The sequence below is a fragment of the Homo sapiens genome, chromosome 3, assembly GCF_000001405.40.
Source record: "Homo sapiens chromosome 3, GRCh38.p14 Primary Assembly".
Taxonomy (NCBI): Eukaryota; Metazoa; Chordata; class Mammalia; order Primates; family Hominidae; genus Homo; species Homo sapiens.
This window is the reverse complement of record NC_000003.12, coordinates 119,887,300-119,914,366: the sequence shown is the minus strand read 5'-3', so window position 1 is coordinate 119,914,366 and position 27,067 is coordinate 119,887,300. Positions and strand designations below refer to the sequence as shown.

The 27,067-nt window shown below is 35.0% G+C and overlaps 1 protein-coding gene across 4 annotated transcripts in view; it reads left to right on the top strand.

The window, feature by feature from the left end:
* GSK3B (glycogen synthase kinase 3 beta) overlaps window positions 1-27,067 on the top strand; it is a 273,127-nt gene that overhangs the window by 180,081 nt on the left and 65,979 nt on the right. For all 4 annotated transcript variants that reach the window (NM_001354596.2, NM_001146156.2, XM_006713610.4 and 1 more), the window contains exons 6-7: window positions 1,557-1,663; window positions 8,515-8,612. In NM_001354596.2, the coding sequence (NP_001341525.1) occupies window positions 1,557-1,663; window positions 8,515-8,612 (205 nt within the window). The remainder of the gene's footprint in view (window positions 1-1,556; window positions 1,664-8,514; window positions 8,613-27,067) is intronic.

Below are 27,067 nucleotides of genomic sequence, written 5' to 3'. Positions count from 1 at the left end.
GGATTTCGCTTGTTTGATAGCTCATTTTTATAAACCCTCTGATTTTTTTGTTTTTAACAAAATTGGTTTGGTCAGATGGAGTTTGGGAAACACTTTGGACTGTACATTATCAGATTGGTAATTTGAACAAAATACTATTACTTTCTTCTTATTTTTTTACTAGATGAAAAGGGGCCAAAAAGTAGCTAAAGAACTAGTTGGGCTATTTAGGAACAAAAAGCTAGATGTGATCACAATATTGGGAAGTAGTTAAAACCAGTCTCCTCTGTAAGAGAGGCTGCTCCGTTTTTGTAGCTCCATCAGGTAGTGAAAAAACTTCAGGCTACAAAGCTTGGGTATTAACGTTTTGTCTCGTAATGAATTTTCTGAACATAATTAGCATCTATCTTGTTAATTAAAAAGCATCCTTTAGAAGATATAACAGTCTCCTATCAATTATGCTGAAAACTAAATGTCATAATTTTCATGCAGCCTAAAAACAGGGATTAGTATTTATTAATTTATGAAATGGTTATTGTATGTCAGTACTTGGGGAGAGGGTTAAAAAACAAACTTCAAAACTAGTGATGAAGGAAAAAGAAGTTAAGGTTAGAGTCATCATTGACTAGAAATAAATGGAAGAAAAGAAATCCCAGTCATTGAAATCCTTGTGACTACTTTCATCTGTCTTTACCCTGGTTTTCCAGTACCTTTACTTTTTTTTTTTGGCACTTACTGTTTTACTGTTTTGATTTTGTTGCATTTTGTCCCTTTATTTATCTTTATTATTAATGTATGTCAGAATGGCTGGCTTCTACAGCAGTTTATTTTATTCTGTCTTTGGATTATCTTGGGCGACATCTCAAAAGAAATTAATTGTAATTTATTATACTTCATATTTAAAATACATGCAATGAAGTATTTTAGTAGGAAAATTGGAATAAGAAAACATGCAATTATACTTACTATAGCAGAGTTAGAATTTATAGGCAGTGAATCATTTCTGCCCTGAAGTTGAAGGGCCTGTTTATAATTTATTGGGTAATAAATGTTTATGTGGTTAATAAATTGACCAAGATATGGAAAAATAGATTGAGTCTATAAGCCTTGAAATATTCGCCGTGAGTCAGAAGTCAAAATGCAAGACAGTGGCCAGTTTCTCACCCTTTTTAAAGAAATACATTGGGTGAGGAGTATTCATTCTTAGAATCCATTGTCATGCTTTTTGGTGGGGGAGGTACCTCTTTTCTGCCCTTGCTTCTTTGTATTTTAGAGGTGGAATTTGGGGAACAGAGGATCAGAAGAAATTCAACACTTATCCTTTTTTGCTTTTGGTGCCTTCTTAGGTGACAAACGCTTTCTTTAAAAATTGCTATTCTTTTTTGCAGAGCAAGGTGATAAAATTGTAAATTTCTTTTATTAGAGATAGTTACAGTTTACATTTTCTTTTTCATATATGATTCAAATGATGTGAATCTTATAAAATCATTTGATACTGTGAAAGGATAGCAGTCTAAGTTCTTTAAGGTTTAGATTTAAAGAATTTCTGCTTTTTATTTTTATTTTTTTTCTGTTAGTGCAAAGCAGCTGGTCCGAGGAGAACCCAATGTTTCGTATATCTGTTCTCGGTACTATAGGGCACCAGAGTTGATCTTTGGAGCCACTGATTATACCTCTAGTATAGGTAAGTACAAATCTGAATATAATGCTCATAATTATTAATTGCTTCTTGATTTTGGTAATTTAGTACTACTAATCTGTACTTTTATTTCCATGGAAAGATGGATATATCCCATAATGTTTTTTTTCTTAAAGCTTGAGATGCAAACATGTATAGGCATACCTCATTTTATTATACTTTCCAGGCACTGCTTTTTTTTTTTTAACCTCTCAAAGGTTTGTGTCAACCCTGAGTCAAGCAAGTCTGCCCACACTAGTTTTATAAGAGCATGTGCTCACTTCATGTCTTTGTGTCATCATGTCTTTGTGTCACATTTTGGTAATTATTGCAACATTTCAAACATTCTCATTGTATCTGCTATGGTGATCTATGATCAGTGGTCTTTGATGTTACTATTGTAATTGTTTTGGTTTGCCACAAACCACAACAATATAAGACAGCAAACTTAATCGATCGGTGTTGTGTATGTTATGAATATTCCACCAGCTGGCCATTCCCCATCTCTCTTCCTATCCTCAGGCCTCCCTATTCCCTGAGAGACAACAATATTGAAATTAGGCCAATTAATAACTCTGCAGTTGCCTCTAAGTGTTCAAGTGAAAGGTACATTTTTCACTTTTAATCAAAAGCTAGAAATGATTAAGCTGAGCAAGGAAGGCATATCGAAATTGTGCCACACAGTTAGCCAAGTTGTGACCAGAAAGGAAAAGTTCTTAAAGGAAATTAAAGTGCTACTCCAATGAACAGATGAATGATAAGAAAGTGAAACAGCCTTATTGCTGTTACAGGGAAAGTTTTAGTGGTTTGGATAGATCAAACCAACCACAACATTCACTTGAGCCAAAGCCTAACCCAGCAAGGCCTGAACTCCCTTCAATTCTGTGAAGACAGAGAGGTGAGGAAGCTACACAAGAAAAATCTGAAGGTAGCAGAGGTTATTTCATGAGGATTAAGGGTAAAAAGCTGCACCATGCCATAAAAGTGCAAGGCAAGCAGCAAGTGCTGATGTAGAAGCTGCAGCAAGTTATCCAGAAGATCTAACTAAGATCATCGATGAAGGTGGCTACATTAAACATCAGAGTTTTAATGGAGACCAAATAGCCTTCTACTGAATTGGAAGAAGATACCGTTTAGGACTTTCATCTCTAGATTTTCTAGAGATGGAAGACTTCTTCTAGAGAGGAGAAGTGTCATTGCCTGGCTTCAAAGCTTCTAAGGACAGGTTGACTCTCTTGTGAGGGCCTAATGTAGCTGGTGACTTTTAAGTGCAAGCCACTGCTCATTTACCATTCCAGAAATCCTAGGGCCCTTAAGAATGATGCTGAATGTATTCTGCCTGTGCTGCATAAATGGAGCAACAATGAGTGGATGATAGCACATCTGTTTATAGCATGGTTCACTGAATATTTGAAGCCCACTGCTGAGACCTACTACTCCAGAGAAGAGTATTTCTTTCAAAATATTACTGCTTATGGACAGTGCAACTGGTCACCCAAAGGTTGAGAAATACATTTGTAAGGCTATAGCTGCCCTAGATAGTGATTAGTCTGATGGATCTGGGCAAAGTCAATTTTAAATCTTCTGGAAAGGATTCACCATTCTAGGTGTCACTAAGAACATTTGTGACTCAATCACATGAACAACATTTTGGAAGAAGTTGATTCCAAGCCTCATGGGTGACCTTGAGGCATTCTAGACTTCAGTGAAGGAAGTCTCTGCAGATGTTGTGGAACTAGCAAGAGAACTAGAATTAGAAGTGGAGCCTGAAGATGTGACTGAACTGCTGCAATCTCATGATGAAACATAAACAAGTTGCTTCTTTTATGGATGAGCAAAGAAAGTGGTTTCTTGAGGTGGAATCTACTAGTGGTTAAGACGCTGTGAATATTGTTGAAATGACAACAAAGGATTTAGAATATTACATAATTGTAGTTGATAAAGCAGCAGCAGGGGTTGAGAGGACTGACTCCCATTTTGAAAGTGGTTCTAATGTGGGTAAAATGCTATCAAAGAGCATCTCCTACTAGAGAAAAATCTTTCATGAAGGGAAGAGTCAGTTGATGTGGCAAACTTCATTGTCACTTTAAGAAATTACTCCAGCCACATCGTATAGCCTTCAGCAACTGCCACCCTGATCAGTCAGCAGCCATCGACATCAAGGCAAGACCCTCTGCCAGCAAAAAGATTACAACTCACTGAAGGCTTAGATGATCATTAGCATTTTTTTTTAGTAATAAAGTGTGTTTAAGTTAATGTATTACATTTATGTTTTTATACAATTCTATTATACAAGTAATAGACTACAGTATAGAGTGAACATACCTTTTATATGCACTGGGATACCAGAAAATTGGTGAGACTTGCTTTATTGTGTCTTATTGTTATGGTCTGGAACCAGTTCTGCAACATCTCTGACGTATGCCTGTATAGAATTTTTCAAATTCTACTTTTTAGAATTTAAGGTATACCTACTATTCTATTTTTCTTCCTTGGACTGTTAGAATCATAAAGCTAATAGCTTTTACCTTAAGAATTTAAATTAATTCTAAGTAACTTTTTTTTACTTTCTTATTTAAAATCCTCCTGAAATACTTCTGAGCATGATTATACTAGTTGGATAATTTATTAATTAATGTTATTTCATTAAGTTAATAATGAAAGTGATAGTATGGCCATATTGCTAACATTTCCTTCATGCCATCTCCATTATTTAATATAAAATCAGCTTAAATCACTAGTAGTTTTGCTAGATGCACTGATTCTGCAGAAGTATGCACCCAAGATGTTTAGTCATAGAAGGAACTGAATAGAGACCATTAGCTTTAATCATCATTGACCTTCTCAAGTCTTCACCCCAGATGTTTAGTGATAGGAGGAACTGAATAGAGACCATTAGCTTTAATCATCATTGACCTTCTCAAGTCTTCACCCCAGATGTTTAGTGATAGGAGGAACTGAATAGAGACCATTAGCTTTAATCATCATTGACCTTCTCAAGTCTTCACCCAAGATGTTTAGTGATAGAAGGAACTGAATAGAGACCATTAGCTTTAATCATCATTGACCTTCTCAAGTCGTCACCCAAGATGTTTAGTGATAGAAGGAACTGAATAGAGACCATTAGCTTTAATCATTATTGACCTTCTCTTTTACTACATCTTAGCCCACTAGCCAGGAGTGAACAGAGAGAGCATGATCAGCTGGACATGAATAGGAAGCTAACAAACAAGGAGCAACTTTAAGCTGGATGTGCAAGTGGAAACCAAAATTATTTTACTCTTACATATTGTTTCTGAAGAGAATTCCTTTAGTCCAGAAACAAACAAAAGCATGCAAATAATAAACCAAAAACATCCCCACAGTAACAGAAAACCAAAACAAACAAAAAACAGACCTGGCCTGGTGCAGTGGCTCACACCTGTAATCCCAGCACTTTGGGAGGCTGAGGTGGGCAGATCACTTGAACTCAGGAGTTCGAGACCAGCCTGGGCAACATGGTGAAAACCTGTCACTACCAAAAATTAGCCGGGCGTGGTGACATGCCCCTGTAGTCCCCGCTACTTGGGAGGATGAGGTGGGAGGATGGCTTGAGGCCAGGAGGCAGAGGTTGCAGTGAGCTGAGACTCCACCACTGCACTCCAGCTCGGTGACAGAATGAGACCCCCCCTCTCAAAACAACAACAGCAACAACAAAAAATAGAACAGACCTTGTGACAGTTTTTTTGTCTTTTTGATATAAATAGAAATTCTCTGATACAAGCAAACACCCTAATCAGAAACACATTATCATTTTTTATTTTGCCAAATGGCAAAATGCCAAAGCACATTTTGATTTCTGCCAAGAGGCCAGCAGTTTTACCCACCATTTCCTTTGTACCCTCAGTACAAATGTTAACCCAGTGAAGGTGTATTCTTATGAAAAGAGTTTTGCCCTCTGGGACATCTAGAAATGTCTAGAGGACCCAGGTGCAAAGAGTACAAAGTGTCCTCTGTAGACCACACTTTGACATCTGCTTTACCAGAGGGTAGAGAGCATAATAATGTGTATATGTATGTGTATGTAATTCTCAGAGTCTTAGTATGGCTGTGGTACATGGCATATATGAATGGACAGATGAAAAATAGTACAAAGAATATTTTGCTTGTGGTCGACCTGGGTTTGAGTGTCAGGTCACTTGAAGTAAAGTGGAGATTACTGACAGTTCTTTTCTGAGTGGCTGTGAGGCTTAAATAAAATGTTAGTGAAAATACTGTAGAAATGAAAGGTGGTATTCTTTTGTGGCATTTTTAGACTTGACTCTCCCCAAGAGCAAATTTCAGCCCCTTGTCTTTGGGTATGTCATTGGATTTTCCAGCTGCTTTACATTTTATTCAAATATATGATACTGATTATCTGTATATAAGATACTGGTGTGAGCTGTGCCAGAAACACCTAAAATAAAGGCAGTTTGATTGTTCTCAAAAAGTTAACACATCATCTCACACATTAAGGAACAGTTATATAAACAGGAGTCTTTTGAACCCTAGCAAGCCTAGGTTTGGCTTCCCATTATAAACTTAGGATACTTGCCTCTTAAGACTGTAATGTTTTTAAACAGACCCTCCCAAAAAGTATACTAATATTGTTACATTTTTAAATGTTTTTAACAGTAATGTTTGAAATGAAAGAGTAACTGTTTCTGACAAGATTATTGTCATATTTAGATACAGCCAGAGGTAAAGCTGATGTCTCTGATTATATTATCTTACTGACAAATGGCAGAATGAGAACAAAAGGCTTCCTTAGAACAAGGAATTGAACTTACAGACAGACCCTTGAAGAAGCTGTTATTCTGTGACAGTGAGACAGTTATTCAAGAGAGTGGTGTTTTGATTGGGAATTGAGAATGATTCCAGGCCTAGCTCTACTATTCAGTACCTTTACCTTGGGCAAGTCGTTTAACTTTATCATGTCTTAATTTCCTTATCTATGAAATAAGTGTGTTAAACTAGATGGTCTTGAAAGATCACTTTAACATGAACCCGAGTTAAATATGAAACAAAATGCTATTCTGGCTTTAACCCCAACTAACTAAAATTCAGTGTGCCAAAGCACTATTTCTATTTTTCCGGTACCTTCTATTTAGTTGAAGTTTTATTCTATCTGGAGAATTTCATCCATTTGTCCTTTGAAGTAAGAGCAGAAGAGATTTTAGTGTCCTCCAGAAAGTGATTGATAAGTACCTTGTTTTTACTAACTTGACTGATGTAACATGAATTGAGGGCTGCTAGTATAGTTGTCACCTGAATCTTTTGAGTGTCAGTCTTCTGTGATAACTTCTAGGCAAGAGTATTCCTTGATGTTTTACTTTTTGTCTTCCATATTTGTAGCTAAATCTTACCTAAGAAAGTGTTTCCTATTGTTTTTTATGAAGGCATAATTATTCCCTTACAATTTTTTCAGCCTTGTATCTGAGATGAATCATTCCGTATTAGAGAGGAAAAAAGTTGAGTGCATATTACCTTCCATCTTATTAACTAGGTAAAGGGATGTTTTAAAACTTAGATTAAAATAAGCATTTACATAAATAAGGAGATACATCTTTTCCGCTTGACTATAACAGTTAGTATTACTATTGGCTTTGAGTAAAGATTCCCTAACAAGTTTTCATATGTGCTTAATTTAGCAATTTCCTAATATATTAAATAGGACTCTTGGTCTATATTTGCAGAATAGATGTCTTGGTTATTAAGTTAGGACTGGACAAAATCAACTCGAGTTTGTTAAATGATACTATGTCATTTTTCTAGGTCAATAAAAAGTAGTCACTGGAGCAACGATTTCCAGTCTCTCTTGATAGTACATCTCACCACATCAGACCTTTAAAATTTTTTGTTGTCAACCATTTACTGTTCCTTCTTCTCCTTCCGTACTGGTAGGTGGTAAAGTCCAGCAATGATTCATATTCGTCTCCCTAAAGCACTTGAGTGTTGGTACATTAAAAACCTAGGAATCTCAGAAATCTGGAAGCTAAAAAGCAGCCTTTTCTTGTAGGAAGTCTTAATAGCGGGCTTTAAAATAGAGTGACCGTACGGTTTATCTTCTAATCCGATAATACTTTTGAGAGAGAAAGAGGTGTTACTAATAATTATCCCAGGACAACATATAAACCATAACTATCCTGGGTAAACCAGGATGTATACTTTAAAGTATTTTTAAAGTGTATTAATTGAGTTAATTTTTAGAGTTTTCTCTCCGGATTGAGGTTTTCATTTTGACTTAAAAGTGGATTATTTTTATAATTTATGAAGTAAAATGTATTCCTCCATCATTGCTATTCCATTTTATTTAAAAATGATATATTTAAGCACATTTTTCTGTCAGTCATCGTAGAACATAAAAATCAACCATTTAAAGTCTTAAAAGTGTTCCTCAGAATTTGCACTGACTTAAAGCCCAGTGTCTGGGAGAGATTGAACCTTTCCTTGCTGCTCCTCTGTAAGTACCTACTAATATGCAGACGTTGTGTCACTTTGACTTATTTTTAAGTAAGATAAATAGATAGTCCTGCCATAGCTTTGGTACTGTAATCCTCTGTCTAGTTATTTGAAGACTTGAATACCTGAAATTTGATAATAATAGACTTTACCCTTTATTAGAATATTCTTATTGGTCTGGTTTCCTCTTTGGTAAGTTTAACATTTAATTAAAAAGTACATTAAGGAAGTTTGATGACTTTTTCTCTGTTTTGGATTGTATAATCTTTTCCTGTGATATTTACTCTGTGATCAAAGTAAAATTAGAAAACGTATACAAACACTTTTCAGCTCAAGCTATGAAGTATTAATAAGGCTTCGTTTTCTTTTCTCTTTAGATGTATGGTCTGCTGGCTGTGTGTTGGCTGAGCTGTTACTAGGACAACCAATATTTCCAGGGGATAGTGGTGTGGATCAGTTGGTAGAAATAATCAAGGTGAGAAGGTTGAATCAGAATATTTGAACTGGAAGGAATTTTTGTGCTACTTTAATAATATATATCACACATGTACACATACGAGAAACTTAAAAAATGGAGGAAGCAATCCAAGGTCACGTAGCAAGTTCAGCTATAAAGTGGGTATAAGAACGCCCCCCCAGCCTTTTGGTTTTTATTTGAGTTACTCTTCTCTTGTATGATCCTAGAAAAGCTATTATGTATATCTGATGCAAGAAAGGTATATATCTGTTATTTAAAGTACTTAAAAGCAAAATTAGACTATAAGCTCACTAAAATGTATGTAAGCTGAATAAAAGCAGAAGCTGTGTCTGCTTTTGCTCACTGTATACTCCCTGCTCCTAATACTCTGTGGAGCACATAGGAGATACTTGTATTTGGTCACTATTTATATTTATTCAGTATTTATAAAATGAAAGAATGAATGCCTACCTGTCTGGCTAGATCATTGATAGAAACAAAATTTTGACTTATGGATTTAATATAATTTTATTTATTGGGTCTATATGAATTTAATATAATTTTATTTATTTTAAATTTTATTTAAAGCTGAATAAAGATATGTCTGGTTTTGCTCAGACACAGCTTCTGCTTTCATTCAGCTTTGCATACATACACCTTTATTAACAAATATTTAAATATTATCTTAGAATATATGTTTTCTTTTAAGAACAGTAGAGCTGAGATTTTAATTGAGTTTTTAAATGTAATTTTTTTAAGTTTTAAATATTTGAGATCTTAAAGGAAGTCCCTTTACTTAAAAAAAAAAAAAAAACCTAGTGTCTAGATTTATATCACTAGATTGTTTCATTCTAAGGTTTCAGTTTGGACAAAGCAACAACACCTACTGTCTCTGGGGCTTTGTTTGTGATATCCCAAATTTTGCATAGAATTGTAAAATTGAAAAATCTCCTTAGAGGTCATGTTGTCCAATGTACAATAAAATAACCTTTTAGTTACATTCCTAACAAATGGTTTTCTAGTATTTTCTTGAACACTTCCAGCATCAGATTACTACTTAGGGATGCAGCTTATTCTGTATTGGACAGCTTGAATTTAGTTTTTATTGTACTGAGCTGTAACTCCTCAGTAGCTTCTACCAGTTGAACATAGGACTGTGATCAAGTTCTTTTCAAATCCTTGTACTTCATTCTATAAAAATAGGAATTTTAAAAATCAAAGGTGGTTTTGCTAGATGTCAGTGTGTGCAAGTATGGTTGAAAAGACTAGTGTGTAATAAGCGATCTTCTTTATTATCCATATAATTTCTTACAATTTGCAGCTTAGACCACTGTGGTATTTGCATCTTCTTTTTGGTACCATTTTTGAGTTTCCTATCTAATCTTTTACACTTGTTAACAGAACTATTTTCTTTTTCATTTCTGTGCTACACTTAGATGTAAATTTGAATAGTTTGCTTTCTTTATTTTCTAAAAGCCTACCCCATCATGTAAATTAATGCTTGAATACGGAGCTTGGCCAACTTTTTCTGTAAAGGACTAGATAAAATATTTTAGGCTTTGTGGGCCAAAAGGCAAAATCGAGGATATCATATAGGTACTTCAGTAACAAAAGAGAAAACACATTTTCACAAATTTTTTTATTGATGAAGTTAGAGGTATAATAATTGAGTCTTTTTTTTATTTTTATTTTTAAATACAGCTCTACTAACCAGAAGAATTGAGTTCTTTTTGGGGAAATATAACCTTTCTCTTAATTGATGTTCAAAGTTAGTACTTTCTAATCATCAAATTGATGGCAAATCTGTTAATTCTTAGCTTATGGGCTTCACACAGACAATGGGCTGTAGTTTCCTGGTCTCTGCTCTTACACAACCATTCAGCATTTCTCCTGTCCCTAGGCTTTTATTTGACGTACTTGAGCTCACCATCACCATGCTACAATTCTGTGGGCATATTAGCTATTCTATTTGTCATATATGTTTAGCTCATTACAATTGTATCATTTCTCTACTGATTATATTTTAGAATTTTGTGGCGATTTGTCATTAATTTTAATTCATACATAATGCAAGTAGAATTTCTGAGGAAGCTAAGTGAGCATCTGTGATAATTCCCTATCTCATGCTTGCCGTAATACCTTATAAATCTTTAAGTCTAGAGCTTGTTTGTACAACTTTTTGTTAGTCCTTGTAATTCATTTTCTGCTAATACTATTTTATGCTACCTGCTATTAATATATTTTGTTACTGATAATTTCAGACTTCATTTTCATTAAGTGCTTATTTTTTCCAAAATGGTCCGTGATCAATATGTAGTAGCAGGCCAACTCTGAAATAAAACACTCATCATTTATGTGCTATGCTGTCATCTTGCATTTATACTTAAGAAATGTACTTATCACCTTACTATAGTAAGTAAGTTCCAAAATCACTGCTTATAGAAAGTTTTGATAATGATATAAGATAAGAGAACTGTAAGTATTTCCAAGCATCCAGGGCATTTTGGGATATCTGGTTTCTAGGTGCCTTCTATGTTCTTGACCGTGGCTGCCCAGGATAGATGGAATTACCAGTAGTAGTTTACCATCCATTTATTGACTGGAAGTTACCACACATTGCACGGAGGCTCTAGGCTTTGTATTTTGTGCAAGTGTGTATATGTTTAGTATAGTTCTAAGTCTTATTGCATGAAGGTTAATAAACTTCATAAGAGTGTTGTGTGTGTGTGTTTAATGTAGCCCCAAATCTTACTGGTCCGGCCAGGGGCCGTAGTTCACGCCTGTAACCCCAGCACTTTGGGAGGCCGAGGTGGGTGGATTGCTTGAGCCCAGGAGTTTGAGACTAGCCTAGGGAACATGGCGAAACCCAGTCTCTACAAAAAATAGAAAAATTAGCCAGGCATAGTGGCACATGCCTGTAGCCCCAGCTACTTGGGAGCCTGAAGTGGGAGGGTAGCTTCAGCCCGGGAGACAAATGTTGCAGTAAGCCAAGATTATGCCCCTGTACTCCACCTGTGTGACAGAGCGAGACTGTGTCAACGAGTCCATCAATAAAATAATAAATAATAAATATCACAGCCAAGCGTGGTGGCTAACACCTGTAATCCCAACACTTTGGGAGGCCGAGGTGCGCAGATCACTTGAGGTCAAGAGTTCAAGACCAGCCTGACCAACATGGTGAAACCCTGTCTCTACTAAAAATATAAAAACTAGCCAGGTGCCATGGCGCACACCTGTAGTCCTGGGTACTCCAGAGGCTGAGGCAGGAGAATTGCTTGAACCTGGGAAGCAGATGTTGCAGTAAGCCAAGTACCACTGCACTCTAGCCTGGGCGGCAGAGTCAGACTCTGTCACAAATAAATAAATAAATAATAAATATCAAATCTTTTTCTTTCTCCTTCCTTCCTGCTTGCCTCCCTCCCTCCCTCCTTCCTATTATTGCTAACATCTGTTCTTCAAATGTTAAATATATATGAGGTTTCATTTGAATAAAAATTCCTAAGAAATGCTGATCTAGCTATTCTAGTTTTCCTGATTTAAGTTGGAAAAGAGAAGTTATATGTGTTTGTTTTCAAAGTTAAATGTTATTAAGACGTTCTGTATTTTAAACAAATACTTTCATGTACTGATAAACATGACTTTAAGAATAGATTTGAAATTTTCTTAAAGGTGGTCTCATAAATGCCCAGTTCAGTTCTCACGTTTTTTAAGGTAATAGTCATGCACCCTTAGTGCTTATGATAAGTAGGGAACTCGTATTAAACTGTTCTTTTCTGCTTTCTTTTCATTTTCTTTCTAGAAAACCTCATAAGAGAGTATCTGGGGGAAACTAACCCTGGAAAAATGGATAACTCTTCTCTGAATTTAAGTTTAAGCAAAAAAAAGAAAGTGGATAATCATATAATAAGCTTTATGAAGTTTTTTTATGTGGTAGACTTGCCTCATTATTTTATAAACTTTTGCCTCATTATTTTATAAACTTTCTGAGCAGGGACTTTTTTTTATTCTTATGTTTTAATATCTGAGGGCACCAAAATAATTTTCAATTAAGGTTTGTATTGAATTAACTTGTTAAACCATTGTCCATTCATGAATTTGAAATAAGCTGGGAATTAATAAGAAAAGTTAATGTGGTTGTTGTGTATGTTGTTTATTGACTCAGATGTCCATGCCAGTAATTTACAGCATGAGTAAAACAGTTTAATTAAACGAACTGTATCTCATTCTAGCTAACATTTTTAATTTTCCTCACTGCCCTCTAATAAGGTTTTTGTAAAATATTTAGAATAAAATCCAAATACATTATCTTTAGAATAAGTTAAAAGTATAAGAACAGATTTGAAAGTCATGGAAAATCATTTCTAAGCATGAAAAACACAAGTATTTAACTTTCTGAAGTTAATTTCATGCATAGAATTGTCAGATCAGCATTTCATTATGCCATTTGACCTCTACATATCAAAAATGCTTGGATTTTCACGGCATTTGTAAAAAGACAAATTCCATTAGGGGCTTCTCAGACAATGTGCTTTTTTTCCTTTAAATTCTTCCTTAATATAAAAACCTCAAGAAATATATGATATAGTTCCAGATACATGGGAAAAAATAAAATATTTTTGGAAAATCTCTACCAGGAATTTTGCCAAATGTAATGTTCACTGACATACAACATTGTCCTTTGGCACCTCTGCAGTTGGCCATAGCAGTGGAGCTTTGTAGAAGAGAGTCCTGTGCAGGCTTGTATAATGCTGGTGAAGGTGATAATTTTTAATGACAGTTACTTTTTTTATAACTACATAGTCTTAGATTTTATATGCTCAATGCAGAAGACTGAGAAAGCACAGACAAATAGACAAAAATCACTTACTGTTCTAGCACATCATGAAAAATACTTCTATAAATATTTTCATATACTATATTTTCTTTTTATTTAAATAAAAATACCATCTTACTGCTTTGTAGACTTTTAAAAACTGAACAATTAAGTATATTTTTTAATGACTACATAGATTCCACTGCATGATTGTATTTTGAATTACATAATTGATGCTGAAAATAACAGCATTAAGGTAAAGTGATACAGCATTGTGTTTCAAAAAGTTTACATGATGTATTGGTTTTCGTAAGTTTGATTATTAACTTTCTTACATAAATGACAGGTGTCCCCCAGAAATTCCATATAAGCAATCTAGGAAGTTTTGGACCTGGGAAAGCTGTAAGTTTTACTAATAATTTCTCCCCTCTACTCTTCAAACTTTAAAACATAAATTTCAAATAAGGTAAGATGAATTTCAGTCCAGAGTTTAATTTCTGGATTAAACTATCACAAAACTAACAATTTAAAAATAAACCAACCATTTGTAGAATTTTTTAATTTTAAATATTAAAATTCCTACAGAGATAGTTTCATTTATATCATAAACATTTACTTATGCTATAGTAATAATTTGACTATTGCTTTTGAATAGAAGAGTTTTAGGACAGAATTAGTCAATGCTACACCTCTTGATAATAGAATTTCAGTATAGCTTTCATAGTTTTTGTAACTGGCCTTTAGAATTTGGGTATATCTTCTCTAAAAAGCTTGACATTAAATATATTGATACTTAAATTATTTGCAATAATAAAATTATTTTATAAGGCAATTAAATTTTCTTAATTTCTTTTGTAATACAGCTTTACTAAACTACTGTTTAGTTTTCTCTTAACATTAATTAACCAACCTAGATATCTATGTAGATAGCTTTTACACAGGGAAGAGCTAGTAATTTCAGTTATCTGTAACTGAAATTTTATGTAAGAAATTTGAAAGTACAACACAGATGCAAATAAACTTTTGATTGTGCTATGGGAGCCAAGTAGATGGGCGGGCTTCATTTCTTATGATGCCTATCCGTAGAAAAAGATTTAGAAGGACCTACAAATTCTACAATGGAGAATAGAATTAAGGGAAGGGGAAAAGGAGAGAATTTTTATTTTTTGCTTTTTACTACTATGTGATGTTGATTTTTTCTAAGAAATCATATCTTTTTACAGTTGCAGGACTTATGAAAAAGTAGTTGCTTTCAATTTTTTGTTTTTGTTAGTAAACAAAAACAGTTCTACAGAAGTTGAGAGTTACATTTTTGTTACAAATGTTTGTCTAAATAATTGTTTTCCTAGGCTTTCAATTTGATGCTTGTTTGTGGTATAATTTAGACAAAAAGATCAGTGGATCCCTGGCTCCTCAGAGTTCTACGTTTTCCAATATTGGGAAATGACTGCTCATCATAAAAGCTGCCACTCAGTGAGACCTTACTTTGTGCCAGGCACTGGGTTAAGCACTTTACATTCATTACCACACTTAATTATTATATTAACCCTAAGAAGTAAGCATCACTACTACTACTATTACTGTTACTACAGTAGTCTCCTGATATCCACAGGTATCACTTTCTACTGTTTTAGTTACCCAGAGCCAACCACAGTTCAGAAACATTAAGTGGAAAATTTTAGTAATAAACAATTTATGAGTTTTAAATTGCATGCTGTTCTGAGTAGTATGCTGAAATCTCATGCTGTCCTGCTTCATTCCTCCTGGGACGTGAATCCTCCCTTTGTCCAGTATATCCATGCTGTATACACTACCTGCCCGTTAGTCATCGACATCATTTGCTCCTGACATCCAGCCATGGACATTATTATGGCTCACTGATCCAGGATCATTCCAAGCAGATGATCCTCCTCCTGGTGTACAGTCAGAAGATCATTAGTAGACTAAGGCTATGTCACAAGGCCTGTGTAATTCACCTCACTTCATCTTACCACATAGGCATTTTATCATCTCACATCATCACAACAAGAAGGATAAGTGTAGTACAAGAAAATATTTTGAGAGAGAGACTACATTCACAGAACTTTACAGTATATCATTTTAATTGTTGTTGCTTTTAATCTCTTACTGTGCCTAATTTATAAATTAAACTTTATCATAGGTATGTATGTATAGGAAAAACATAGTATATAGTTTGGTACTACGTATGTTTTCAGGCATCCACTGGGAGTCTTGGAACATATCCTCCACAGTTAAGGGGAAACTACTGTATTACCGTATATACAGGAAGAGTAGGGTGGTGGAAAAACCATCTGATTCATCTGTAGCTCAATTTATAGCCTCTATTCATGGAATTTTGTACCTTCGGGAAAAACTATATGATCCTTAATGTCAACTTGATACCCAGAACCCATTGAGTTGTGTTTATTACTTATTATATGTATATTGTAAAAATTTGTGTCTACCAGCAAATTAGTGATGCAACCCCTAAATCTTACAGTAGTGAAATCAATTTGAGGTATCTTTAGGTTTAATTCTGTTTCAACCATTGTAATGGTCAGTTCCTTTGCTTTGCTTTCAATTACACATGGTCCCCACAATTCCTTTGCTTTGCTTTCAGTTACAGACAGTCCCCGACTTAGGATGGCTTAATGATTTTTTGACTTTCCAATACTGGGAAAGCAGCACAGATTCAGTGGAAACTGTATTTTGAGTACCTGTACAACCATTCTGTTTTTCATTTTTAAGACAATATTTAATAGGTTACATGAGATGTTTGACACTTTATCATGAAATAGTCTTTGTGTTTGATTATTTTGCCCAACTGTAGGCTAATGTAATTGTGCTGAGCACATTTAAGGGTAGTCTAGGCTGAGCTGTGATTTCAGTAGATTGGACATATTGTTTGCATTTTCAGCTTAGGATATTTTCAGCTTACTATGTATGGGTTTGCCATGATATGACCCCATTTTAAATCAAGGAGCTTCTGTACAGTTCAACCTTATTTTCACCATCTTCATTTAGCAAATATTTTGGATTTTAATTATCCCTGTCCTGTCCTATAGTTTGTTCAGTGCCCATGTGTACCTACACTCTTGTTTCCTGACTTAACATTTTCATTGTCAGACAATCTTTCTTTTTCTTTTTCTTTTTTTTTTTTTTTTTTGAGACAGAGTCTTGCTCTGTCACCCAGGCTGGAAGTTCAGTGGCGCTGTCTTGACTGACTGATTGTGTTAGTTGGTACTTAATTTGTTCTTGTATTATCAGTTAAATTTTTTCATTTATTGCTGATCAGAGCAGCAGCTCTTAATAGTTTTTAAATCATGGACTACTTTGAAAATCTATTAGTAATAGTGGACACTTCCCCCCAGAAAAATGAATAAATACCAAACAGTTTGTATGCAACTTTAGGTGATTCTTGGCCTTCCCGTAGCTCTCCCAAGAACTCCAGGGTAAACATCTTTCCCCTATTATAGTACAAGGAAATAAGACTACAGTTAATAATAACCACCTGTAGAAAGTGGGTATTACACATACGATATGATGCCAACATTTTTAAAATAAGAAAAACGGAGGCATTAAAAGAATTATTCTAATGCAATAACTGCTCAACATTAGTATAATGTTTTCCATAGACCAAAAGAAACATTAATTTTAACTAATATTATGAAATTGTATTTGGTCTACAGTAACTTACCCATACTTAGTTAAATCCCTGTATACTTAAAAGTATGTGTGCCTAGGCATGGAAAAATAACTCCTGGCGATGTAGCTCAGTTTGTCTTTTGACTTGCAGATAATGGCATCCATTTGAAATCGTTACTTTTCCCAGAATATGCAGTGTAGTTATTTACTAATTTGCCAGTGATGTTTTATTTATACAAAGAAACTTTTTTCCAGACAAACTGAAGTTTCATGACATTGTCACTTCAAAACTAATTTATTTATAGTTGTATTTTAGGACCTGAGTCAAAGGACCATCCATATGATTACTTTTCCTGGGATATAATACCCTGTAGTCATCAACTGCAGATTCTTGTGCAGGGTTGCCTTTTGAGTTATTTTGTGTGTTGACCTAATTTCAGGGCCTCAATTTAATACATTTTCTTTGGAGAAATCTATAAAGTATATGAAGGGGCAGGTGAGAGATGGGACAGGGACAGAAATCTGTCAGGTTGATAGCATGCATATGCTAGACCCCTGACTTCAGGATCTATGTTTTACTAAGGAATTCTTGCTTCCTTTTTTGCAATAAAAGGTTAAAATGTTTGACACCAATGATTCTTAATAGTTGGCTAGTAGGAAAAGTATAAGAAACTAGCAATCTTGTAGAAAGGGGCATTTCTAGTTTTTAAAAGTATACTGAATGCTATTTCATATTTATAAAGCAATATTTTATTGTTTATTTGATGTATAAGATATTAAGACAGTATGAAGGAAATCTTGGCTTGTGATGCTACAAAGAACTATAGTGTTAGTGATTCTCGAAGGAAAGTAAAACTGGTTGATGTGTATACAGATTTTTACATGTATTTTTTTTTAATCCAAGAGATTCATATACCCCCCTTTCTATTTTATACTGCTTCCTTGAGAATACCACTTTAGCTGAAATTCACCTAGAAAAAAAGGTCTTTTGACTCCTATGAATATGTATCAACCAAAAATGAATTTTTCACTTTATGTTCAATAGTTTACGTAATCAAAACTTTTTGGCGGGGAGGAAGATGATTTGTTTCCAAGTATAAATTTTTATTTAGTAAGAAAAGAATGAAGTCCAAAACAGTCTTGAAAAAGAATAAAGTTGGAGGAGCCACTTTTTTTTTTTTTTTTTTGAGACAGAGTCTCGCTCTGTCACCCAGGCTGGAGTGCAGTGGTACAATCATGGCTTACTGTAGCCTGCACCTTCTTGGCTCAAGCTGTCCTCCCACCTTAGCCTCCTGAGTATCTGGGACTACAGGCACACACCACCATGCCTGGCAAATTTTTGTATTCTTTGTTATAGATAGGTTTTCACCATGTTGCCCAGGCTGATCTCAAACTCCTGGGCTCAAGAAGTGATCCACCTACCTTGGCCTCCCGAAGTGCTGGGATTACAGGCATGATCCACCACGCCCAGCCACACTTCTTGTTTTCAAAACTTACTACACAACTGCAGTAATCAAGACAATGTATTACTGGCGTGAATGTAGCCATACAGATCAATTAAGTAGAATGGAGAGTCTAGAAATAAACCTTTATATTTATTGTCAATTGATTTTTGACAAGGATTCCAAGATAATTCAATGGGGAAACAATAGTCTTTTTGACAAATGGTGCTTGGACAACTGGATCCATATGCAAAAGAATGAAGTTGGACCCCCACCTCACACCATATACAAAAATTATATAGCTTGTGGAGAAAAGGGAATCCTTGTACACTGTTGTTAGGAATGTAAATTAGTACAACCATTATGGAAAACTATATGGAGGTTCCTCAAAAACTGAAAATAAAATTACAGTATGATCCAGCAGTTCCACTTCTAGGTAATCTATCCTGAAGACTTGAAGTCAGTATGTCAAAGAGATATCTGTACTCTCAAGTTCTGTTCATAAAAGCCAAGATATGGAAACAACGTAAGTACCTATCAGTGGATGAACGGAAGGAAAAATATGGTATATATATATCCACTACAGTGGAATACTACTTAGCCTTAAGAAAGAAGGAAATTCTGTCGTTTGTGACAACATGGGTGAACCTGGAGGACATTATGCTAAGTAGAGTAAGTCAGGCATAGAAAGAGAAATATTGCATGGTCTTACTAATATGTGGATTCTGAAACGATTGAATTCCAGAAGGAGAGAGAAGAATAGTGTTTACCAGAAGGTGGAGAGGATGGGAAATGTTGGTCAAAGGGTACAAAATTATAGTTAGACAGGAGGAACAAATGATAAGTATTTAATGTAATCGGTATGTTAATTAGTCTGATTCTGTTATTCCACATTGTATACCCATAATATCACTGTTTACCTCAAAACTATATACACTTATAATTCGTCAATTAATTAAAAACAAATGAATTCAGAATGAATCAAAGACCTAAATGTTAGAGCCAAAACGATAAAACTCTTAGAAGGAAACAGATATAAATCTTTGTGAACTTCAATTAGTCAATATTTTCATACATGTAACACAAAAAGCACACATTATAAAAGAAAATAGAAGTAAATTGGACTTTGTCAAATTTAAAAACTTGTGCTTTAGAAGACAGCATCAAGAAACTTAAAAGACAATTGGAGAAAATTTTTACAAATTATGTCTGGTAAGGGATTTGTATCTACAGTATGTAAGGAATTCTTACAACTCAATAATAAAAAGAAAGCCCACTTGAAAAATGGACAAAGAATCGGCATAGACACTTCTCTAAAGAAGATACACAAATGGCCAGTAAGCATACAAAAAGATGCTCAACATCATTATTCATCAAGGAAATGCAAGTCAGTACCATAATGAATACTATTATCACACTCTCCATAATGACTAAAATAAAAAGACAGTAACTAATGTTGGTGAGGATATGGGGAAACTGGAACCTTCATGCATTGCTGGTGTGGTTGTAAAATGATGCAAACCTTGAACAAGTTTGGCACTTCCTCAAACTATTAAACATTGAGTTATATGACCCAGCAATTCAGCTTGTAGGTATATATCCTAATAACTGAAAACTTACATCCACACAAAACATGTACGCAAAGTTTATAGCAATGTTATATAGCCAAAAAAGGAACAAATAAAATTTCTAGCAACTGATGAATAGATAAGAAAATGTCACACACGAAAGGCCACATATTATATAATTCCATTCTATTTATATTAAATGTCCAGAAGAGACAGATTGTGGAGACAAAAAGATTAGTGGTTCTGGGGAGCTGGGGGAAATGAGAATGATGGCTCATGGATACAGGCTTTCATTTTGAGGTAATGAACATGTTCTAAAATTAGACAGCAGTGATGATTGCACACCTCTGTAAATGTAGTAAAAATCACTCAGTTGTATAAGGGGTGGGTTTCATGATACATGAAGTACAGTAAAGCTTTTTTTTTTTTTTAAGGCAAAAGTGAGCACATCTATCTGTAAAAGAATGTCTTTGTCATTTCCACTGCATCTTAAGGAAGGCAATAAACCCTGACTATAGTTTTGCAAAGGACTCTAAAGGGTTTCTCAGAGTTGTACCATCCACCCCGATTGCCCCCTAAAAGGGAAGGAGAGCTGATCAACTTGAGTTAAATGACAGGCAAGAAAGAGTGAATGAAATAGAGTATAGGCACACGGGGGGACCCTCCTTTAGTAGTTCATTCTGTCTAGTTTAAATAAATACTTTACCCAAATTGTTTACTTGTGCTCAAATAATGTGACAGCTTGCTGCTCTGAAAAATGATGAAAATCACTGAAGTTCTTAATGGGGCTTTAAGACTCATATTGCTGCAGCTATACCTTTTTGCTCTTTGCCTTTTGGAAATTAGAAGGAAACCCTGAGAGAGAAATATTGCACCCCAAGAAAATGGTTGCTTATACCAACTTGTAATCATATAGTATAGGGGAGAGGTATAAACTGGGTAAAATCTGCATTATTGAGCTTATTACTTTAGCTACCTACAACTAGTAGATTTAAAAAGTAAAACCTGCTGGGTGCGGTGGTTCATGCAGTAAATCCTAGCACTTTGGGAGGCTGAGATGGGTGGATCACTTGAGGCCAGGAGCTCAAGACCAACAGGAGGAAGCTTCATCTCTATTAAAAATATAAAAATTAGCTGGGTGTGGTGGAGCACACCTGTAATCCCAGCTACTCAGGAGGCTGAGGCACAAGAATCACTTGAACCTGGGAGGTAGAGGTTGCAGTGAGCCAAGATTGCACCACCGCACACCAACCAGGCTGACAGAGCAAGACTCTGTCTCAAAAAATAAATAGTAAAATCTGTAAATTGTAGGAAAATGCCAGAGGAGATGACATTTCATATCAGTCCTCTATAAGTGAAAATGATAGTGATTCTATTGTCATTAGACTGATATTTTGAAACAGAATACATGTTTTCTATTTAGAAAAATTTGTCCTTTTGAGGATATAGCAGCCAATCTAACACAACCCAACACTCCAAATTCCATATGCAGAAAATAAATGAAGATGTTTAGGTATTCAACCATTTATACAATGATTATGTTGTGTTATATAATTTCATTTTTAAAACCTTTATTGAATTCATTATCTATAAGCCTAGCCATACATCCCTTTAGTCTTTCAAGGTGCATACCACATTAACTACATGCGTTAATTTAGTGAACAGTTTTTACTAGGTGCTGGGCAAGAACTTAGAGGTTTCTTGCCTTCAGGGGCTTCAGAGACTGATGGATGGGAGGAGAGGAACTGAGGGCAATAGGGCAAGCCCAGTATTATTCCAGATGTCTGAGCAGAATACAAAGGCAGAAGCATTTCACTCAGAGTAGTGCTGTCTGGAAAGCCTTCTTAGGAGAGCTAACCATTGAGCTGAATATTGAAACATGAAAAAGTATTTACCAGATAGGGAGCGGAAGGGAGTGGATAAATATTTAGTAAAACTAGGTTTGGTGTGTTTCTTTATGGTTGTCGCTTAAGGTTCTGCCTGGTGGGGTTGATAGAATATGAGTTTACCAGGAAGGAGAAGACTGGAGCTGTTGACAGTGGCCAGATCACATTAGCTTGTAAGCAGTTGGAAGCAATTGCAGGATTTTAAGCGGAGTAGCGACATTTCTAATAGGTTTTCTTTTACTTCGCTCTTAAAGGCTACACATGCACCTCTATTGCTGAAGTTTGGCGACCTCTGGTGTTGAACTATAAAATAAACAACGTTGTGGAAGAAATACTAGCGTTTCAGAGCTTGTCAGTTGCTTTTTGTGAGGTGCTTCTTGGGCCGTAGTACTTCTTTGAAGACAGTAATTATCAACTCATAATTCCTGTGTTGATATTTTTCAGTGTTTGGATAAATTTCTAACTAGGTAGGGCCAGGAACAGATAAATTGATTGATTTAATAGTAAGGGGATGAACAACATCCCCAAAGGGGTGGGGCAGGCTGATCTTGATGCTTTTTGCAACAAATGAAAAGATCATGAGTTCTAGTAATAGATAACTGAGAATATGTTCCCTTCCCATTGGTGTGATAATTTTTAAAATTCCCCCCTCTTTTGTATGAAATACACTTACAGAAGAGTGCATAAAGCATTTCCATCTAGTTTAATTTCCTTTAAGTCAAAAAAGGACTCAGTTTTCAGGAAATCCAGGAATAAGTATTAATTACTCAAAATATATGTCTTTAGTCTAAACGTTTTGGAGGAAAAAAAATTTCCATCTCTTAAAATTCAAGTGAACCCTAAGACTTGTTTTGTGTATGAAATGATAATTTGTCAAACATCTTTTTTATCTATAAAATTATTCAATTATTCTGTTTCAAAAGTTCCAAATGTAGAATTCAGCTGGAGTAAATCAGGTAGAAATATACTCTGAACCTAATAAAAACTTAATATAAAACCTAAAGATATACTCAGAGGTTGAAATAGGATAGTTGTTAAAATGTCTTATGTTTGTGGTGTTAAAGATAGTCATGCGTTCTGAATCTTTGCTCTTCATATCTATCACTTGCTTACCTTTTAGCCTTTAATTATATCATCCATCTATAATCCAGTCCTTATTCTCTTTTAGAATGCTGTTTTTCACCTACACATCTAGTGTGCATAGAATGTACTTTTTACTCATTTGCCTGCTACATTCCTTAAGTAAAATCAGCTCTTGACTCCCCTTCCAGAACCTTTCCTGAATCCCTTCCTCTTTCCAGTGCAGTGTAGCACTTTCACCTCACACATTACCTATACTTACTTTGCTATACTATTGTCACCTGATTGTTGTTGATTTACGTACAAGTCTCTCTGCCCTAGAGCTTCTTGAGGAATAGGCTCTAAGTAAACGTTTTGAAATGTGAATAACTTCAGAGGCTGAAAAGTTTTTTAAATGCCTCTTGATTATGTCTCATCTTTGCTTTCTTAAAAAATATGCATATTGTATATAAAATAGTTCTGATTTTAGGGTTTGACAGATTCTGATACTTTTAATGCTAGCCTTATAAATAGCAATTTAAGAAGGTTAAACTTCTGTTTGCATTTAGTAAAGGCAACACAAATTACATAATGGTCCCTTTTTTTTTTTTTTTTACTTTTTAAATCAAGTTAATAGAAATATAATTTATATGTAATAAAATATAGGCATTTTAAATGACAGTTTAGTAAATTCCAACAAACATGCCCATATAACCACTACCCTGGTCAAGATTTAGAACATTTCTATCACCCTAAAAATGTTTCTTTTTATAGCCTGGAATGACCAAATGTCTCAGTTTGCCTGGACTGAGGGGTTTGCCAAGATGGTCCCAGGCAAACTGGGATGGTTGGTCACCCTGTTCATTCTCCTTTGTGGTCAGTTTCCCATCTTCTGTCTCAGGTGATCATTGATCTATTTTCTGTCACTACAGATGCCTATTCTAGAATTTCATAAACGAAATCATATATTTCTTTTGTATCTGGCTTTTTTTGCTCAGTACCATGTTTTTGAGATTCGTCAGTGTTGCTGCCTGTATCACCTGTTTATTCCTTTTTATGCTAAGTTGTATTCTGTTTTATGAGTATACCACAATTTCTTTATCCATTCACCTATGAATGGACATTTGACTTGTTTTGGGGTTTTGGTTATTATGAGTAAAGCTCCTATGAATGTTTGTTTACAGGTGTTTTTGCAGACATATGTTTATATTTCTCTTGAATAAAAAAGTAGGGCTGAAATTGCTGATCATATGGTAAGTGTATGGTTACCAAACTATTTTCCAAAGCAGTTTTACTATTTTACACTCCCACCAACAACACATCAGAATTCCAGTGCTTCACATTCTCATCAACACATGGTATTCTCAATAATTTTAGATTTAGTCTTAAAATGACTTTTATCATTAGGAAATGCCCCTCTTTATTTTTGTTTAATTTTCTTATCCTGAAGTCTTCATTTTCTAATATTAATATAGGCACTCTATCTTTCTTATGATTTTGCATGGTATAACTTCTTGCATTCTTTTACTTTTACTCTATGTGTTTTAATTTAAAGTGCATTTCTTACAGACATATAGTTAGGTGTTTTTTAATTGAGTTTGACAATTTCTGCCTTTGTAATTGAAGTACTTAGACTATTTACATTCAGTGTAATTATCACTGTGGTTGAGTTTAAGTTTTGCACCTTCGTATTTGTTTTCCTTTCATCCCATCTTTCCTTTGCTCTGTTTTTCCCCCTCTTTTACTGCCACCTATGGATTAAATCAGTGGTTTTTATTTTTTCTATTGGCTTTTAAGCTATACCTCCTTGTTGCATTTTTAGAGGTTGGTCTAGGATTTAAAATATGCATCAATATATTACAGTCAGTCTTCAAGTAGTAATGTACCATGTCATATAGAAAACAAGAACCGTGTGACAGTATTTCCATTCCCCTTCCTGTTCTTTGTGCTATAGTTTTCATACTTTTTAATTCTACATGTTATAATCCTTACAATATTTGTTGTTTATAGGGGGAACCCGCCCCTAATATTTCAACATAGGTTTTTTCTATTTTCCATGAGTGTCGGCTGGCTGAGAAATAAAGAGAAAGAGTACAAAGAGAGGAATTTTACAGCTCGGCCTCCGGGGGTGACATCACATATCAGTAGAACCGTGATGCCCACCTGAGCTGCAAAACCAGCAAGTTTTATTAAGGATTTCAAAAGGGGAGGGGATGCAAGAACAGGGAGTAGGTCCCAAGATCACATGTTTCATAGGGCAAAAGGCAGAACAAAGATCACATGCTTGTGAGGAAACAGGACAAAGGACAAAAGGCAGAACTTTTGATAAGGGTCTATGTTCTGCAGTGCACGTATTGTCTTGATAAACATCTTAACAGAAAGCAGGGTTTGAGAGCAGAGAACTGGTCTGACCTCAAATTTACCAGGGCGGGATTTTTCCCCACCCTGCTAAGCCTGAGGGTACTGCAGGAGACCAGGGCGGATTTCAGTCCTTATCTCTATGGCATAAGACAGACACTCCCAGAGCAGCCGTTTATAGACCTCCCCCAAGGAATGCATTTCTTTCCCAGAGTATTAATCCTTGCTAGGAAAAGAATTTAGTGATATCTTCCCTATTTGCACATCCATTTATAGGCTCTCTGCAAGAAGAAAAATATGGCTCTATTTTGCCCAACCCTGCAGGCAGTCAGACCTTATGGTTGTCTTCCCTAGTTCCCTGAAAATTGCTGTTATTCTGTTCTTTTTCAAGGTGCACCGATTTCATATTGTTCAAACACACGTGCTTTACAGTCAATTTGTACAGTTAACACAATAGTGGGCCTGAGGTGACGTACATCCTCAGCTTATGAAGATAACAGGATTAAGAGATTAAAGTAAAAAAAAGACAGGCATAAGAAATTACAGAACTGTTAATTTGGGGAACTGATAAATGTCCATATTAAAATGAAATCTTCACAATTTATGTTCAGAGATTGAAGTAAAGACAGGCTTAAGAAATTATAAGAGTATTATTTGGGAACTGATAAATGTCCATATTAAAATGAAATCTTCACAATTTATGTTCCTCTGCCGTGGCTCCAGCTGGTCCCTGTGTTCAGGGTCCCTGACTTCCCGCAACAGTTGTTACTTTGCTTTAAACAATTTCTTCAAGAGGAATTTTTTAATGAGGGGGAAATATCATACATTTAACCACATATTTACCATTTTTGGTGCTCTCTATTCCTTTGTGTAGATCAGAATGCCCATTTCAGAAGTCTTTCTTTAATCCTGAACTACTTTTTTGTGGTGAAGATCTGCTGGTGACAAACTTGGTTAGCTTTTGTTTGCCTAAAAATGTATTTTGAAGGATATTTTCACTTGATGCAGAAATTGGTTTCCCTTGGTTTCCAGGGTTTATTTTTCCTTCAGTTTTTGGAGAGATCTCTATTTTCTTCTGGCTTTCATTGTTTCTGTTAAGAAGTCAACTGTTGATACCCTGTATATACCCTGTCTATAATGTGTTTCTGGCATTCTTGAAGATTTTCACTTTGTGAGTGGCTTTTATCAGTTGATTATGAGTTTTTATAGTATTCTTTGTATTTGTCCTCATTAAGGTTCATTGAACTTCTTGTGTTTGTGGGATAATCATGGTTTTTATAAAATTTGGGTAAGTTTTGGTAATGTTTCTTCAAATAGTTTTTCTGCATCTGCCCTACTTCCCACCCCATACTTCCCACCATCAGACTCAAGTCACATGTGTACATGTTTTTTCCCTCCATGCTTCAGCTTTGATAGTTTCTATTGCTATTTTTTTAATTCAGTGATTGAGTTTCTTCCCTGTGTCTAACCTGTTAATCCTCTCCTGTGAAGTTTTAATTTCACATACTGTATTTTTTAACTGTACAATTTCCATTTGGTTCTTTTTTATATCTTCTATTTCTCTCCTTGTTATAATAGCTATTTTAAAGTCCTTATGTGCCAATTCTGTCTTCTCTGTCATTTCTGGATCTGTGTCTGTTGACTGACTTTTGATTTTTTCTCTTCTTATATTTTCCTACTTCTTTAAAAATGTTGAATTTTG